The 18,384-nt window shown below is 43.4% G+C and overlaps 1 protein-coding gene and 1 pseudogene across 16 annotated transcripts in view, besides 2 other annotated features; both read left to right on the top strand.

Moving 5' to 3' along the window:
• SPCS2P4 (signal peptidase complex subunit 2 pseudogene 4) lies at positions 7,528 to 8,935 on the top strand (annotated as a pseudogene).
• Positions 15,360 to 18,384, top strand: part of EYA3 (EYA transcriptional coactivator and phosphatase 3) — a 118,267-nt gene continuing 115,242 nt past the window's right edge. For all 16 annotated transcript variants that reach the window (NR_104214.2, XR_007096080.1, NM_001282562.2 and 13 more), the window contains exon 1: positions 15,360 to 15,446. The gene's annotated coding sequence lies outside the window, so the exon portion shown is untranslated. The remainder of the gene's footprint in view (positions 15,447 to 18,384) is intronic.
• Positions 15,421 to 15,490: an enhancer, noted in NCBI's record as "active region_581". NCBI's record gives its function as "activates an Ori minimal core promoter by ATAC-STARR-seq in GM12878 lymphoblastoid cells {active_cell/tissue: GM12878}" and the evidence as "EXISTENCE:reporter gene assay evidence [ECO:0000049][PMID:35858748]".
• Positions 15,701 to 15,760: an enhancer, noted in NCBI's record as "active region_580". NCBI's record gives its function as "activates an Ori minimal core promoter by ATAC-STARR-seq in GM12878 lymphoblastoid cells {active_cell/tissue: GM12878}" and the evidence as "EXISTENCE:reporter gene assay evidence [ECO:0000049][PMID:35858748]".

Here is an 18,384-nt window from a genome sequence, read left to right as displayed (position 1 = left end):
CTGAGTAGCTGGGATTACAGGCATGCGCCACCACGCCTGGCTAATTTTTGTATTTTTAGTAGAGATAGGGTTTCACCATGTTGGTCAGGCTGGTCTCGAACTCCTGACCTCGTTATCCACCCGCCTCAGCATCCCAAAGTGCTGGGATTACAGGCGTGAACCATCATACCCGGCCTAAGAATGTATTTTGTAGACTTTTTCCCAAATCAAGATTGTATCAAAGTTCACTCATTGCAATTTGTTATTGGGTCTCTTTACTCTCTTTTAGTCTAAATCCCCTCCATTTGTGGATTTTTCATGATATTGACATTTTGAAGAGTTTAGGCTAGCTGTCATGTAAAAAATTTTTACATTTTTTTGGTATAGTATTTTTTATTGTGGTAAAATATGCATAAGATTACAGTTTTAACTATTTTAAAGTGTACAAATCAATGGCATTAAGTACATTTACAATGTTGTACAACCATCACCACTATCAATTTCTGGAACTTTTTTTTTTTTTTTTTGAGATGGAGTCTTGCTCTGTCGCCAGGCTGGAGTGCAGTGGTGTGATCTCGGCTCACTGCAACCTCCACCTCCCGGGTTCAAGCGATTCTCCTGCCTCAGCCTCCTGAGTAGCTGGGACTACAGGCACGCGCCACCACACAGCTAATTTTTGTATTTTTAGTAGAGACAGGGTTTCATCATATTGGCTAGGATGGTCTCAGTCTCTTGACTTCGTGATCTGTCTGCCTCGGCCTCCCAAAATGTTGGGATTACAGATGTGAGCCACCACGCCCGGCCAATTTCTGGAACTTTTTTTTATCATCACGAACTAAAACTCTGTACCACTAAACAATAACCCTCCATTACTCCCTACCTCTAGCTTCTGGGAACCTTTATTGTACCGTCTGTATCTATGAATTTGCCTATTTTAGGTACCTCGTGTAAGTGGAATCATGTAATATATGTCCCTTTGTATTTGGCTTATTTCATTTAGCATAATGAATGTTTTCAAGTTTCAGCCGTGTTGTAGCATGTATCAGACTTTCATTCTCTGCATTGCTTTTTTTTTTTTTTTTTTGAGACAGAGTCTCCATCTGCTGCCCAGGCTGGAGCGCAATGGTGTGATCTTGGCTCACTGCAACCTCCACCTCCCAGGTTCAAGCCATTCTCCTGCCTCAGCCTCCCAAGTAGCTGGGACTACAGGCATGCGCCACCACGCCCAGCTAATTTTTGTATTTTAATAGAGATGGGGTTTCACCGTGTTGGCCAGGCTAGTCTTGAATGCCTGACCTCAAGTGATCCACCTGCCTTGGCCTCCCAAAGTGCTGGGATTACAGGTGTGAGCCACTGCACCCGGCCTGCATTGCTCTTTAAAGTTAATTTATTTGAGTCTTATATTTATTTTCTTATAACTTTTTAAACTTTTTTTTTAACATGAAGGAATGCATTTAGATGTATTCCCAAATTTAAGAAAATCTGTCTAGACTTTTACGCTGGCCAAGCTAATTAGATTTAGATTAGTGAGCTCATAGTGAGTGGGTTAATTTATCACCAGGTTGCAGTAAAATTAACCTTCCAAAACAAACATAGTTTATAGCTTTGAATGAATAACCACCATTTCCTATACTAAACATTCTTTTAAAAATGTAGTTTGCTGTAATAAAAATTAATAGCCTCAGGATTACAAGTAAATACTCCCTGGGATTATTAAAACAAGCATTTCAATAGTATAGAAAAGCTCTTTGTCTTTTTAATTAAAAGACTTAGTCTATTTTTATGATGACATAGTTCAGAATTCTTTTAGATGTATCTTAAATTTTATGGTAACTCTTATGTAGAAATTCACTAACCCTCGGCCTTGTCTTTTTATTTTTTTTTTGAGAAGGAGTCTTGCTCTGTTGCCCAGACTGGAGTCCAGTGGCGCGATCTCGGCTTACTGCAAGCTCCACCTCCCGGGTTCACACCATTCTCCTGCCTCGGCCTCCCGAGTAGCTGGGACTACAGGCGCCTGCCACCACGCCCGGCTAATTTTTTGTATTTTTAGTAGAGACGGGGTTTCACCGTGTTAGCCAGGATGGTCTCGATCTCCTGACCTCGTGATCTGCCCGCCTCGGCCTCCCAAAGTGCTGGGATTACAGGCATGAGCCACCGTGCCCGGCCTTACCCTCAGCCTTGTCTTTCTAAACAAAGCAGGCTGGATAATTTAGTGCTTGGCATTCTCTAAAGCACTTAGGTGAATAGCATCTCAAGTTTCTTGATAAAGATCAGGACTTTGAGGTTTATTATAATTTTTTTCTACATCTCTATACTCATGAAAGCTTCATAGTATAGATTTTTTGTTGTAGTTATTGTTGAGACGGAGTTTCGCTCTTGTCGCCCAGGCTGGAGGGCAATGGAACGATCTCGGCTCACTGCAACCTCTGCCTTCTAGGTTCAAGCGATTCTCCTGCCTCAGTCTAGGATTACAGGCACCTGTCACCAAGCCCAGCTAATTTTTGTATTTTTAGTAGAGACAGGATTTCACCATGTTGGCCAGGCTGGTCTTGAACTCCTGGCCTCAAGAAATCCACCCATCTTGGCCTCCCAAAGAGTTGGATTACAGACATGAGCCACCATGTCCGGCCCATAGCAGCTTTTATAAGTCCATTGTTTTCTGATTTTTAATCACTTACATATGTATGTATCTGTCATAATTCTAAACACTTTACATGTATTTGTTATTTAACTCTATGAGATAAAGGCTTTTCTTTTTTTGGTGCATTTAAATTTTATTTGAAATTTTATTTTTATTCATTTATTTTTGAGCAGAGTTTTGCTCTGTCGCCTAGGCTGGAGTGCAGTGGAGCGATCTCAGTTCACTGCAACCTCTGCCTCCTGGGTTCAAGAGATTCTTCTGCCTCAGCCTCCCGAGTAGGTGGGATTACAGGCATGTACCACCACACCCAGCTAATTTTTGTATTTTTAGTAGAGACGGGGTTTCACTGTGTTGGCCAGGCTGGTCTAGCCAACACACCTTATGTAATCCACTTGCCTTGGCCTCCCAAAGTGTTGGGATTACAGGCGTGAGCCACTGCACACAGCCAGTGCTGTTTTAAATCTCCATTTTACATGTATGAAAACTGAGGCACTGGCCGGGCACTGTGGCTCATGCCTATAATCCCAGCACTTTGGGAGGCCGAGGCGGGCAGATCACCTGAGGTTGGGAGTCCGAGACCAGCCTGACCAACATGGGAAACCCCGTCCCTTCTAAAAATACAAAATTAGCTGGGTGTGGTGCCACATGCCTGTAATCCCAGCTACTCGGGAGGCTGAGACAGGAGAATTGCTTGAACCCGGGAGGCGGAGGTTGCGGTGAGCGGTGAGCCAAGATCATGCCATTGCACTCCAGCCTGGGCAACAAGAGTGAAACTCAGTCTCAAAAAAAAAAAAAAAAAAAGAAAGAAATACTGAAAACTGAGGCACTGAGCAATACTTGACCTGTCCAAGTGCGCACAACTGTAAGTGGGAGAGTCAGGATTCAAACACAATCTGTTTCCAGAGCCCTTGAAAGTCTATACATTCTTACTATGGGGGAAGAAAAAGAAAGAAAGAAAAAAAAAAGTGAAGTTGACAGAATATATGACATGGTCCCTTCTATCCACAAGAAACATCTATTATTAACAGTTTTTTTTTGGTTGTTGTTGTTCTTGTTTTTTGTTTTTTTGAGACAGAGCCTTGCTGTGTTGCCCAGGTTGGAGTGCAATGGTGTGATCTTGGCTCACTGCAACCTCTGCTTCCTGGGTTCAAGCAATTCACCTGCCTCAGCCTCCTGAGTAGCTGAGATTACAGGCATGCGCCACCATGGCTGGTTGGTTTTTGTATTTTTAGTAGAGATTGGGTTTCACCATGTTGGCCAGGTGGGTCTTGAACTCCTGACCTCAGGTGATTCACCCACCTCAGCCTCCCAAAGTGCTGGGATAACAGGTGTGAACCACCATGCCTGGCCAACAGTTTATGTTTTAACTTTAAATCTAATTATAGAGTACAAATACACAGATAATGGCATTCTTGGGGGAAGGTATAACCATAATTTTTTTTTTTTGAGATGGAGTCTCGCTCTGTTGCCCAGGCTGGAGTGCAGTGGCACGATCCTGCTCACTGCAACCTCCGCCTCCTGGGTTCAAGTGATTCTTTTGCCTCAGCCTCCCAAGTAGAGTAGCTGGGACTACAGGCGTGTGCCACAATGCCTGGCTAGGTTTTGTAATTTTAGTAGAGACAGGGTTTCACCATGTTGGCCAGGCTGGTCTCAAACTCCTGACCTCAAGTGATCCACCCACCTTGGCCTCCCAAAGTGCTGGGATTACAGGCATTAGCCATGGCACCCGGCCAGTATAGCCATGATTAAAAGCAAATATGAATCCATCATCTGGTTGGCAGGAAACTTCCAGGCAACCTAAGTTTGACACAGCTCACTCTGGAATTGGACAGGGATACAGGCCCCTGCTAACCCAACTAACTCAGCTTAGTTATGGGCAGCTGACAACTGCTCCGCACAGCAGCGGCCACCTGAACAGGAGGGGAACCAAGAGTAGGAACGGGAGGCAAGAGTGGGTCAGTCTAGTGCTCAACAGGGCAAAGGCAGGGGCAGAAACCAGGTATCCCAGATGAGTCAGCCAGAAAAGATAATCCAGCACCAGCAGGGCAAAGGGCTGGTCTGTGGGTCTTGTGTTGGCCATGAGGACAATTCACAGTTATGTGGAGTCCCAAGGCTGTGCCAAAACAGCTGTTACTGGTCATGTGCAAGAAGATACTGTCTCAAGTGTTTTAATCAAAATAGAAAGGCATCCTGGTAGGAGGGTGTTGAACATGGCATGGGTATAGCCGTGTGTGGGAATCAGGCATCCAGAAATGGCCAAAGTGGAGCCACTGCAAATAGTACAAGAATGAATATACACAATGACTTAGGTCAGCAGTTCTCAAATGTTTTGATATCAGGATCCCTTAATGCTGTTAAAAATTACTTGTGACCCTGATGGCTGGATGTGGTGGCTCACGCCTGTAATCCCAGCACTTTGGGAGGCCGAGGTGGGTGGATCACCTGAGGTCATGAGTTTGAGACCAGCCTGGCCAATACGGTGAAACCCCATCTCTACTAAAAAAAACCAAAAAACAATAAACAAAAAATTAGCTGGATGCGGTGGCATGTGCCTGTAATCCCAGCTACTCAGGAGGCTGAGGCATGAGAATTGCTTGAACCCAGGAGGCAGAGGTTGCAGTGAGCTGAGATCGCACCATTGCACTCCAGCCTGGGCAACAGAAGGAGACTCCGTCTCAAAAAAAAAAAAAAAAAAAAAAATTACTGGTGACCCCAAAGAGCTTTTGTTTATATGATTACAGCTATTTATATTTTCTCCTTTAGAGATTAAAATTGAGGAATTTTGAAAATGCAAGAATATACCAGCACACATTCCATTAGCCATTAGCAATGAATTAGCACATAGCCCCTGGAAAATTCCACCACACTTTTGAAAGAATGAGAGTGAAAAAGGCAAATAATGAGTTAGTGTCATTTTTAAAGTAGTTTTGATTTCACTTACTCCCTGTTACTGTCTTGGAGGTCTCCAGGAGGTCCCCAGACCATACTTTGAGAACTACTGGTCTAAATAATATATAGTAGGCTGGGCGCCACCTAGCACTTTGGGAGGCCGAGGCGGGCGGATCACATGAGGTCAGGAGTTCAAGACCAGCCTGGCCAAGATGGTGAAACCCCATCTCTACTAAAAATACAAAAATTAGCAGGGCATGGTGGTGCATGCCTGTAGTCCCAGGTACTCAGGAGGCTGAGGCAGGAGAATCGCTTGAACCTGGGAGGTGGAGGTTGCAGTGAACCGAGATTGCACCACTGCACTCTAGCCTGGGAAACAGAGTGGGACTGTCAAAAAAAAAAAAAAGAAAGAAGAAGAAGAAGGAGAAGGAGAAGGAGAAGAAGAAGAAGACTGGGTAAGTACTGTTTTTGCAAGCCATCATTGCTGCTAGTAACTTTCATTCATTCATTTTTTTCTTTTTTTTTTTTTTTGAAGACAGAGTCTCACTCTGTTATCCAGGCCGGAGTGCCGTGGCGCTATCTTGGCTCACTGCAACCTCCACCTCCCAGGTTCAAGTGATTCTTGTGCCTCAGCCATCCGGGTAATTAGGATTACAGGCGCTTGCCACCACGCCTGGCTAATTTTTGTATTTTTAGCAGATACAGGGTTTTGCCATGTTGCCCAGGCTGGTGTTGAACTCCTGGCCTCAAGAGATCCACCCAAAGTGCTCGGATTCCAGTTGTGAGACACTGCACCCGGCCTATTGCTGCTACTACCTTTCAAGACTCAGAGAGACTAGAAACTGAAATTCTGGGCTGGGTTTGGTGGCTCACACCTGGAATCCCAGCACTTTGGGAGGCTGAGGTGGGTGGATCACTTGAGGTCAGGAGTTTGAGACCAGCCTGGCCAACATGGTGAAACCCCATCTCTACTAAAAATATAAAAATTAGCCGGGTGTGGTGGCAGGTGCCTGTAATCCCAGTTACTTGAGAGGCTGAGGCAGGAGAATCACTTAAACCTGGGAGGTGGAGGTTGCAGTGAGCTGAGATCGTGTCATTACACTCCAGCCTGGGACACAAGAGTGAAACTCCTTCTCAAAACAAAACAAAACAAAACAAAACAAACTGATATTCTGCCTCAGAAAAACCCCATGTCTCCGGCAATGATCATATTGGCCAACAGAAACAGCCAACTGCAGGAAAATGGCTTCTTCCTCATTTCTACCTTACAAATCTTACCTAAGTATATCTAATGGACCATATCTAGTTCTCACCCAGAATCCTACGTGGATGGAAGCCTGTGAAATGCCATTTATAAACTTCCACCTCTGCAGTATGGGAAGGTTCACTAGAATGAAGTAGGAAAGAGTGTTAAGTCCCAGTTGAACACATTCAACACACATTTCTGTCTACGGGTTGATTAGAATGTGAGCTCCATGAGGGCAGGGAGTTTAGCCTGATTTATGGTGTTTTTGTTTTGTTTCATTTTTGAGACACGGTCTCACTCTGTCACCCAGGCTGGACTGTAGTGACGCAATCATAGGTCACTGCAGACTTGAACTCCTGGGGTCAAGCAATTCTTCCACCTCAGCTTCCTGAGTAGCTGAGACTACAGGCATGTGCCACCATGCCTGGCTTTTTTTTTTTCTTCTTCTTTTTTGTGGAGTTGCTTTTTTTTTTTTTCTTCTTTTTTGTGTCAGTATGTTGATCAGGCTGATCATGAATTCCTGGCCTCAAGCAATCCCTCTGCCTCAGCCTCCCAAAGTGTTGTGTACAGGTGTGAGCCACTACACGCAGCTGATTTGTTTTTTTACCATGTCCTCAGAGTCTGGAATTTTACAAAGTAGTTGCTGAGTAAACAGGTAGATACAAATCAAGATGAACTTTTCCGCAGGAGCTCTTATCATGAACATCAGACAGATAACAGTTACTCGAACAATAGTTTTGGGGAGGTAAAAAAAAAAAGTCAGATACGGAGGGAGACGCAGAGGCGGACAAGATGGCGGCGGCAGCTGTACAGGGCGAGAGAAGCGGTGGTAGCGGAGGCTGTAGTGGGGCTGGTGGTGCTTCCAACTGCGGGACAGGGAGTGGCCGTAGCGGCTTGTTGGATAAGTGGAAGATAGATGATAAGCCTGTAAAAATTGACAAGTGGGATGGATCAGCTGTGAAAAACTCTTTGGATGATTCTGCCAAAAAGGTACTTCTGGAAAAATACAAATATGTGGAGAATTTTGGTCTAATTGATGGTCGCCTCACCATCTGTACAATCTCCTGTTTCTTTGCCATAGTGGCTTTGATTTGGGATTATATGCACCCCTTTCCAGAGTCCAAACCCGTTTTGGCTTTGTGTGTCATATCCTATTTTGTGATGATGGGGATTCTGACCATTTATACCTCATATAAGGAGAAGAGCATCTTTCTCGTGGCCCACAGGAAAGATCCTACAGGAATGGATCCTGATGATATTTGGCAGCTGTCCTCCAGTCTTAAAGGGTTTGATGACAAATACACCTTGAAGCTGACCTTCATCAGTGGGAGAACAAAGCAGCAGCGGGAAGCCGAGTTCACAAAGTCCATTGCTAAGTTTTTTGACCACAGTGGGACACTGGTCATGGATGCATATGAGCCTGAAATATCCAGGCTCCATGACAGTCTTGCCATAGAAAGAAAAATAAAGTAGCCAATTCTAAAAGTAGCCCTCTTTCTCCTGGATCTTGCTGAATTAGTGGCTTGGGGGGTGGGGGAGATAAAAAGAACTTAAAATGGGTAAAGTAAGAAATGTTAAAAAGTCCCTGTTTTGTCCTGAAATTTTAGTCTATTCTGGATAAATAGGATTTTCTGACACAGATATGAGAAGTTGTAGCTCTGATGTCTAGCTGTAGTCTCCTTGATCTGCTGATTGCATTATTTTAATTTGCTTTTCTGGGAAAGCAGTTTTGCTAAAAGCTGTACAGACTTTTTCTTTTGTACCTAGCAGTACTTTATATAGTATAGCTTTGGGCCATGTAGCATTTTAAGACTCAATTTTAAAAAATTATTAATCTGTTGCTGACTCTTAATTCCTATTTCAATATGTGTTTCCTTGAAGAATTCAGGATACAACTTCTTGTGTATGACAGCTTTCCTTCACACACTATTTTTGTGGGTGTGTATATATCTGATTTGGGAAGAATTTAAAAAACACATAGCTTTTTAATTTGTTTGAAACAGACTTTCTGCCTGTTACATTTTGTGCTTTTAACCAATTAAAGAAGCCAATGGCATTTTAGTTTTATATTGTGTTTCCCACTAGTATATCCCTGTTGATTTGTTTGTGCCTTTTATTAACTGCCATTTTCTAAAATTTTTTTCAATAAAAGGAAGGAAGATGTGAAAAAAAAAAAGTCAGATACAGAGTGTAAATAAACTACACTGTAGTGAATTAAACTTGGCTGCAAATTACTACACTGTAGTGAATTAAACTTGGCTGCAAATTATTTGACATTCTTCATATTACAAAGTGGAGTCTATGTTGCCTCCCTTGAATCTAGGAGATTTCTATGACTGCTTTGACCAATAGACTAAAATGGAAGTGATGCTGTGCCTCTTTCCAGGCTGGACTTAAAAGAATGGCAGCTTCCACAACCTGTCTTTATGGATCCGTGAGCTGCCATGTGAAAAGTTCAGCTACCCTAATAGACCACGTGGAAAGGCTCTGAGACTACATGCATTGGGGCGAGCTGAACCCAGCCTTTCAGTGTCAGGCATATGTGTTGGACCCTCCAGACTAACCTGGCTGCAAGCTAGAATGCCATCAACTGACTGGTTGATACAGTATGGAACAGAGAAATCACCCAGCTGAGCCCTGCCCAAATTCCTGACTCAAAAAGTGTGAGATATAATATAGTGGTTGTTGTTTTAAGCCACTGAGTTTTGGGATAGTTCGTTATGTATTTACAGATCACCAGAGTGCATGCTTAGTGTGGTCTTGGTGAATACAAAGCTGACTGTGGTAAGGATGGAGAAAATGTCCTATTTACGTCTCATGTCGATTTCCACAGTTATAGTTTTACTCCATGGTTACAGGTTTTTTGTTTGTTTGTTTGGACAGTCTGGCTCCATCACCCAGGCTGGAGTGCAGTGGTGCATTCTCGGCTCACTGCAACCTCCGCCTCCTGGGTTCAAGCGATTCTTGTGTTTCAGCCTCCTGAGTAGCTGGGATTACAGGCGCATGCCACCATGCCCAGCTAATTTTTGTATTTTTAGTAGAGACAGGGGGTCTCACTATGTTGCCCAGGCTGGTCTCAAACTCCCAGTCTCCAGTGATCCACCCGCTTTGGCCTCCCAAAGTGTTGGGATTATAGGCGTGAGCCACTGCACCTGGCACATGGTTACGGTTTTATAGCATGCATTCCGTAAGGTGTTCCTAAAACACTCAAGTTTTGTTCAAGACACATTCTCTATAAAGCAAGCAAGAGATCTTGGATGTTGCTAAATGATATTGATTTGCTGGAAAAATATGAACAGTAGTAATGATGATATGGAAAAGATGCCTGTAGGTAAAGATACTATACTCAGGAAACTGGAAATGCTTTGCTCTGAAGGTAGCAATGGTTACTAAATATCTTACAAATTTGAATTTATTCTATTCCAAAGGCGTTTTGCTGGTGAAAGTTTGAACAAAACTGTGAAAAAGACTTTAGTAATCTCCATGCAGGGTCAAGTAGGCAAAAGTGACCCATGTCTTTTTTACAGTGATGACTAGATTCCTACAGATTTTAAACATTATTAATCTATTTATTTGTGGTAAAAACACATATCATAAAATTTACCAACTTAACCATTTTTAATTATACAGTTTAGTAGTGTTAAGTATATTTGCTTTCTATGAAACAGATCTCAACCTTTTCATCTTGGAGAACTGAAACTCTATACTCATTAAAGAAACTCCCTTTTGTCCTTTCTCCCCAACCCTTTATATCCACCATTCTACTTTCCATATCTATGAATTTGACTAATTTATATAACTCATATCAGTGGAATCATATGGTATTTGTCCTTTTGTGAGTGGCTTATTTCATTTAGCATAATGTCCTCAAGATTTATTCATGTTGTAGCATGTGTACATGCTCTTTTTTTTTTTGGTGGAGTCTTGCTCTGTCACCAGGCTGGAGTGCAATGGTGTGATCCCAGCTCACTGCAACCTCCGCCTCCTGGGTTCAATCGATTCTCCTACCTCAGCCTCCTGAGTAGCTGGGACTACAGGCGCACACCACCATGCCCAGCTAATTTTTGTATTTTTAATAGAAACAAGGTTTCACCATGTTGGCCAGGATGGTCTCGATCTCTTGACCTCGTGATCCACCCGCCTCAGCATCCCAAAGTGCTGGGATTACAGGCATGAGCCACTGCACCCAGACAGAATTTCCTGCCTTTTTAAGGTTGCATAGTATTCCATTGTATGTATACCAAATTTGTTTATACATTCATCCATCAATGAACATTTGGGTTGCTTCCATCTCTTAGCTATTGTGAATAGTGCTGTCATGAACATGGGTGTGCAAATATCTCTTGGAGATCCTGCTTTCAATTCTTAGGGATATATACCCAGAAGGGGATTCCTGGATCATACGTTAGTTCTATTTTCAATTTTTTTCAGGAACCACCATATGGCTTTCCATAAGGTTGCACCATTTTACAATCCTACCAACTACTGATTGCTTTTAGAAGGTCAACGATCATGTATATCATAAGAAATTGCCTCAAGTACAATATAGAACATCAACAGAAATAAAATCCAGACCATTGTACTTCATATATGTCAATCAGGAGGGTTTAAATTAATAGCTATTATAAAACACTGATCATACATTCATCATGTCTTTTCAAAATGGAAATATATAAATTAGAGGTCTTATTTTTATTATTTTATTTTATTTTATATATTTGTTTATTTTTCGAGATGGAGTCTCTCACTCTGTCACCCAGGCTGGAGTGCAGTGGTGCCATCTCGGCTTACTGCACGCTCTGCCTCCTGTGATTCTCATGCCTCAGCCTGCTAAGTAGCTGGGACTACAGGTGCCTGCCACCACACCTGGCTAATTTTTGTATGTTTTGTAGAGATGAGGTTTCACCATATTGGCCAGGCTGATCTTGAACTCCTGACCTCAGGTGATCTGCCTGCCTCGGCCTCCCAAAGTGCTAGGATTACAGATGGGAGCCACCGTGCCCGGCCTTTGGATTTTATTATTATTATTATTATTATTATTATTATTATTTTTGAGACAGAGTCTCACTCTGTAGCTCAGGCTGGAGTGCAGTGGCACGATCTCAGCTCACTGCAACCTCCGTCTCCCAGGTCCTGGTTCAAGCAATTCTCTTGCCTCAGCCTCTCGAGAAGCTGGGATTACAGGCACATGCCACCATGCCCAGCTAATTTTTGTATTTTTAGTAGAGACGGGGTTTCACCATGTTGGCCAGGATGGTCTCGATCTCTTGACATCATGATCCACCTGCCTCGGCCTCCCAAAGTGCTGGGATTATAGGCGTGAGCCACCACGCCCAGCCTGGATTTTATTCTTAAATGACTGTAAAGACACTAGAGCACCAGCAAGGTACAGCTTCTGCTCTGGGGAGGAATTTGCATGCTTTCTTGTAGCTCTGTTTTAGAATCATAGCTGTCACATAATGATATTTTGGTAAATGATAGAATGCATATATGATGGTGGTCCCATAAGATTATTTAATATTTTTACTGTACCTTTTCTATGTTTTTATATGTTTAAATACACAAATACTTGCCATTGTGTTACAATTGCCTACAGTATTCAGTACAGTCATATGCTATACAGATTTATAGCCTAGGAGCAATAGGTTATACCATATAGCTTAGGTGTGTATAAGTCCATTTTACGATGTTCGCACAATGATGAAACTACCTAACGAGGGATTTCTCAGAACATATTCCTGTCCTTAAACAGAGTGTATATGTATGTAAATGCTTTAGGCATAACTTTTCTGGAGCTATTGCATTGATTACTCATGGGCTCCCTCTGGTGGAGGTGGTGGCTCAGTTTGCAGGGTTTCAGATCAGGAAAACCAAAGTAAATGAGCAATTTAGCCCTTCATTCAACAAACATTTACTGAGTGCCTACAGTGTGCCAGGCTCCATTCTGGTGCTGAAAAAACATCCGTGAACAAATCGGACAAACATCCATGGACTCATGGAACTTACATTCTGGCAGGGGGAGAGAGACACTAAGCCAAATTTACAAGCAACTTGTTGGATGGGAAAGTACAAAGAGGATGGTAGTGTTCCAATTTTTAATGTAGTGTCAGGGAAGATCTCATTGAGAAAGTGACATGTGAATAAAGATGTAAATGAGGTGAGCGGATGAATGATGCAGGTATCTGGGGGAAGAGCACTCCAGGCAGATGGATTAAAAAGCACAAAGGCCCTGGGCCTACCTGTAGTTTTGAGGAATGGCAGAGGCCAATGTGCTTTAAGGGGAAGGATGACAGAAGGAGTAGGAGTTGAGGTTAGAGCAGAGCTGTACTGGAGGTGTCAAATCTTGAGGGTCCTGTAGACCAATGTAAGGATTTTGGTTTTTACTCTGAAATAGGAATGCATTGGAGGAAGGATATGATCTAATTAGGGTTTTAACAGGAGCCCATTGCTACTATATTAATAGATTGTGGGGGCCGGGCGTGGAGGCTCACACCTGTAATCCCAGCACTTTGGGAGGCTGAGGCGGGTGGATCACTTGAGGCCAGGAGTTCAAGACCAGTCTGGCCAACATGGCAAAACCCCGTCTCTACTAAAAATATAACAATTAGCCGCGCGTGCTGGCGGGCCCCTGTAATCCCAGCTATTCAGGAGGCTGAGGCAGGAGAACCCAGGAGGCAGAGGTTGCACTGAGCCAAGATCAGGCCAGTACACTCCAGCCTGGGTGACAGAGGGAGGCTCTGTCTGAAAAAAAAAAAAAAAAAAAGATTGTGGGAAGGCAAGAGTATAAATAGGGCACTCACAGTCACTGACTGACTGGTTTATACCAACGGAGGCAGTAAATGGTCAGGTTCTGGACAGATTTTGAAGGCAAATCTTGCAGAACTTGCTGATGGAGTACATGTGGGATATGAGAGAGGAGTTAAGGATCTTAGTAAATGATGTTGCTTAGTACATTGTTGTCATCGGAAGAGGTGATCAAATATACAGTCAAAAAATGTAGAAAAAATAGTTTTTTTTCTGGATTTTGTTATTCGTGGTATTTGTGAGCTAATAAAAATGTTTGTAATTTTTCTCATTATAAAAGGTTCACTTTTATATCTAATATTGTATTTGTAATTTTGGATTTTTTTTTTTTTTAGACAGTCTCGCTCTGTTGCCCAGGCTGGAGTGCAGTGGCATAATCATAACTCACCGCAGCCTCTACCTCCTGGGCTCAGTTAGGTGCGTGCCACCACACCTGGCTAATTTTTCTGGGTTTTTTTTGTTGTTGTTTTGCTTTGTTTGTTTTGTAGAGACAGGGTCTAATTTTGTTGCCCAGGTGATCTCCAACTCCGGGGCTCAAGCAACCGGTCGACCTCGGCGTCCCAAAGTGCTAGGATTTCAGGCATGAGCCACTGTGCCTGGCCTTGATTATTTTAAAGAGGGCCCCCAAATTGAATAAACGTCAAGTCTCCACAAAGCCTGAATTCAACCTTGCTTCTAGCCCATACTTGGGTTGTAATTTAAAATTAACGAAACATTTAAGAATTTTGCTTCCGAAAACAGTGTGCACGAAGTGAATTGTAAGCCTAATATAATATTAAGAATAAACTAAATTTGGGGATAAAAAGATCACCTTGGGGCTCACGCCTGTAATCCCAGCACTTTGGGAGGCCAAGGGATCAACCGAGCTCCAGAGTTGGAGACCAGCCTGGGCAACATGGCGAAACCCCGTCTCTACCGAAAAATACAAAAATTAGCCGGGCGTGGTGGTGCGCGCCGGTAGTCTTAGCTACTCGGGAGGCTGAGGTGGGAGGATCACTTGAACCCAGGAGGCGGGGGTTGCAGTGAGCCGAGATCGCGCCACTGCACTCCAGCCTGGGCGACAGAGCAAGACTCTGTCTCAAAAAAAGAAAAAAAAAAAGGGATGGGCGCGGTGGCTCACGCCTGTAATCTCAGCACTTTGGGAGGCCCAGGCGGGCGGATCACCTGAGGTCGGGAGTTCAAGACCAGCCTGACCAACATGGAGAAACCCCGTCTCTACTAAAACTACAAAATTAGCCGGGCGTGGTGGCACATGCCTGTAATCCCAGCTACTCGAAAGGCTGAGGCAGGAGGATCGCTTGAACCCGGGAGGCGGAGGTTGCAGTGAGCCGAGATCGCGCCATTGCACTCCAGCCTGGGCAACAAGAGCGAAACTCCGTCTCAAAAAAAAAAAAAAAAAAAGATCACCTTGGGCTAGCCTCCCAAATGTCTTCCAAAACTTCCCACTCATTCTCCTTCCCAGTTTTTCTAAATCTACCAAATGCACCCAACACTTCTTACGTTCCTTTTAGCCAGGTAGGGATTACGCGCATTTTTAAAGACCTCCTTAAAAGTGAAGGCTGTAGTACCGTCAGGACTGCCTAGCGCTCACCCAGAAGCTGCTTGTCTCCGAGGCACTAAGAGGGGCGTGGCCATGGGCGTGGCTCGCCGGGCCGGCGGAGTGGGCGGAGCCTAAAAGCTTCCCCGCCCGGTCAGACTCAACACATGCGCCCAGAGGTTTCTAGTGGAACGAGGTGTGGATTGTGAGGTGACTCTGGCCGCTTACTTCCGGTTCCTAGCGATGCGCATCCGGGTCACGCTAACGCCGCGGTTTCCTCCGCTCGATTGGTTCTACTGTGGGTCTGGACTGATCTCCATGTCCTGTTGTGGGGCTTTTACAGCCTTTGGGTGAGTCTCAGCTGCCAACAGGGTCTGAGCGCAGCCGGGCGAGCACAGCGTGAAGGGGGATGGGTCTAGAGTTCTGCCTCGGTCCTTGTGGGTGGGAGTCTCTTCGCCTGTCCCTTGTCACTGCAGTGCTTCACTCACCTCAGCCCTTTCCTTCACGCTGGCCTCGCCTTATTCACCTCAGCTTAGCCTTCTCGCGCTTCCGTGCCTCTGTCGCCTCGCTGTTTTTCCTCAGCCTCATCAGTCCTTTTCCAACCTCGGTTTCTTGCCTTACGCCTCAGCGCTTCTCTCAGCCACTGCCTCTCCTTTTTTCTCCTCCTCCCTTCTTTTAGAACCTCTTTTCCCCTACCCCTGATCTGGGATCTCAGCGTTCTTTCACCTAGCGAGACGGCCCAGCTTCTCATTGTGCTCACTCTTCACCACGAGAAACTGAGCCTCTCCCTAGGGTCCTAGTTCCTTGTCCCCCAACTTTCTTCAGCTTTGATCCTTCCTCCTGGGACCAGTAGGTGACAGTGCTTCTCCTGGGGTTCTTCTGCCTGTCCTTAGCTAGAGGAGAGCTTTGCCAAAGCCCCGAAATGGGAAGACTTCCCCAGCCTGGGGGAAGTTTTGCCTTAAGGCGCCGGGTTAGACTGAACTCTGGTAGCTTCCATAGTTAGGGTACAACAAAGGCGTTCCTAGTTCTTCGCTTTACCTCAGTTTTGGGGCTCTCTCAAGAGCAGCTAACAGGTGGCAGGCACACGGTACTGCTAGCAGTTGGGCTGGCGCGATCTTGTTAATTGACAAGTCATGAAGAAGTTCTGTCAGTTTTGTGTTCCCATGAGAATGGATGTGCACAGCTGAGGCAAAAACGCCAATATTTTGGGACGTTCAGCTCTGTTTTCGGCATGGACGCTTCTTACAGGACACTTGTGATGATAGAGGACAGAATTTGTGGAGAGATCATTAGCCCCAGATTTATGAATTTATTGTGTTGTTTCCGAAAAGTGGTCTGCTGAAGAGTTCACTATAGTAATTTCAAAGTAATCTTTAAACTTAGTATGCACATATGCATTTTTTCATTTTTACTGTATTAAGTTTTCTATTTGTCTTCCTCTTCCTTCATTAGCCAGACTTTACTTAGAATTACATTACTTAGAAGTACATTACTTAGAATATTCTTCTAACTTTTGTATTTTTTTTTCCTTACCATTTCCACCTTTGTAGTAAAACTATCATTTTCTCATTTTGAGATTTAGGGCACCTTTCTTAAATTTCCCTAGAGGTTTAAAGTCATTTATAACATGAAGGAATTGCATTTAATAATGGTTAGTGCTCCCTTTCCCAAATTTTGTGATCTAGAGTATAGGCTTGGGTAATCTTTATTTTTTCCCGATGTTTATAGTGTATATCTAGCACTTGATTGCAGCGGTTTTTGTGTCATCAGTTTCTGTAATCTATAAATTGTGCTTTAAAATGTAGTACTTCAGTATGAACTTAAATACAGCTTTGAGCACCTGCTTATCTTTTGGCTAATTAGCTATAGAAAAATCTTCATTATATGATACATATACATATAAGAGTGTATAGTCCTTGGCTTATTCCAAAATTGGGCTCTCTTCAGCTGTTTTTAGCAAAGGACTTTGGAGCTTGGCCATGTTAGTCCTAGAAGCCACGGAGAAGGACCCTTCTGATTGGCTTTCAGGACTTATCTAACTGCTAAGTGAAGCCTCTTTGAAAGTTTCTTATGTGTACCTCCTCCCCACTACCTAGCTCTAGCTTCTGTCCAACCTGGCCTATTTTCCATCCTTCAAAACAAACCCCAATGTGTATGGCTTACTCCAGCTGCTTCCTTACCTTCAGGTTTGTGGGCTTCATTTAAGCCATGGGAATGCCAGCTTAATTAATGCAGATTAAGATAAGAACATTAAACCCCAAAAATGATGGGAAATCACTCTGTCTTCAAAACAATAGAAAATAATAAAATCTAGTTATAAAGATTATATACCATTGTCACTAGTAAGAAGTGGCACTCTTATTTACAAAACATAAAGAAATTAGGGTTTAGGTCTGGCATGGTGGTTCACACCTATAATCCCCAGCACTTTGGAAGGCCAAGGCCAGAGGATTGGCCAGGAGTTCGAGACCAACCTGGGCAACATAGACAAAATTAGCTTGGTGTAGTGGTGTGCGCCTGTAGTCCCAACTACTCAGGAGGTTGAGGTTGGAGGATTGCTTGAGCCCAAGATTTTGAGGTTACAGTGAGCTGTGATCACATCACTGCGCTCCACAAGGCAACAGAGTGAGACTCTCTTAAAAAAAAAAAAGAAATTACAACTTAAACAGTTAATTTCCAAGGTCATTTTTTTTTAAGTCAAGAAGTCCTATACATGCTCTCAAGAGTAGCGAGTGTTAATTCCATTAAAGCTGTAGGCTGGAAAGCACAATATAGTATTTAGTGGGTCATTTCAGTATATGTCATATATGAATGAGACTATTAGGATAAGAAATCTGTGACATGGATTTTAAAATCCAAAGCCGAAGTCATTTTGCCTTCAAAGAGTGACTAGAGAAAGAAACTGTTTTGTGCAGAAGTAGAAGTTGAAAAGTTTTAGGAGTCTTTTGTTCTTCTAAAATGACTTTGGCCTGTATATTCTGCATTGAAGCCATTAAATGAAATGAGCATCCTGTGTAGTCATTGGAGCAGTTGTGTTCCATGCTGCTGATCTTCAAGCCTGACCCTCCACCTAGCTGCCAAACCAAAACAAACAAACAAACAAACAAACAAACCCAGAGACAGCTTAATGTGTGTTTGTTTTTAAAGCTCAGGAAAAAAAATTACCGTTGATTTTCTACAAAAATTTCTACTTTAGTTGGTAGCCCTAAGGGCTCAATTTAAAATATGTTTCTGCATATTAGTTTTAGGCTTACCAAGTTTTCTTATTTTGGTTTGGTTTGATTATTT

Source organism: Homo sapiens, chromosome 1 (genome assembly GCF_000001405.40).
Source record: "Homo sapiens chromosome 1, GRCh38.p14 Primary Assembly".
Taxonomy (NCBI): domain Eukaryota; kingdom Metazoa; phylum Chordata; class Mammalia; order Primates; family Hominidae; genus Homo; species Homo sapiens.
This window is presented reverse-complemented; position numbering and strand designations above follow the sequence as displayed.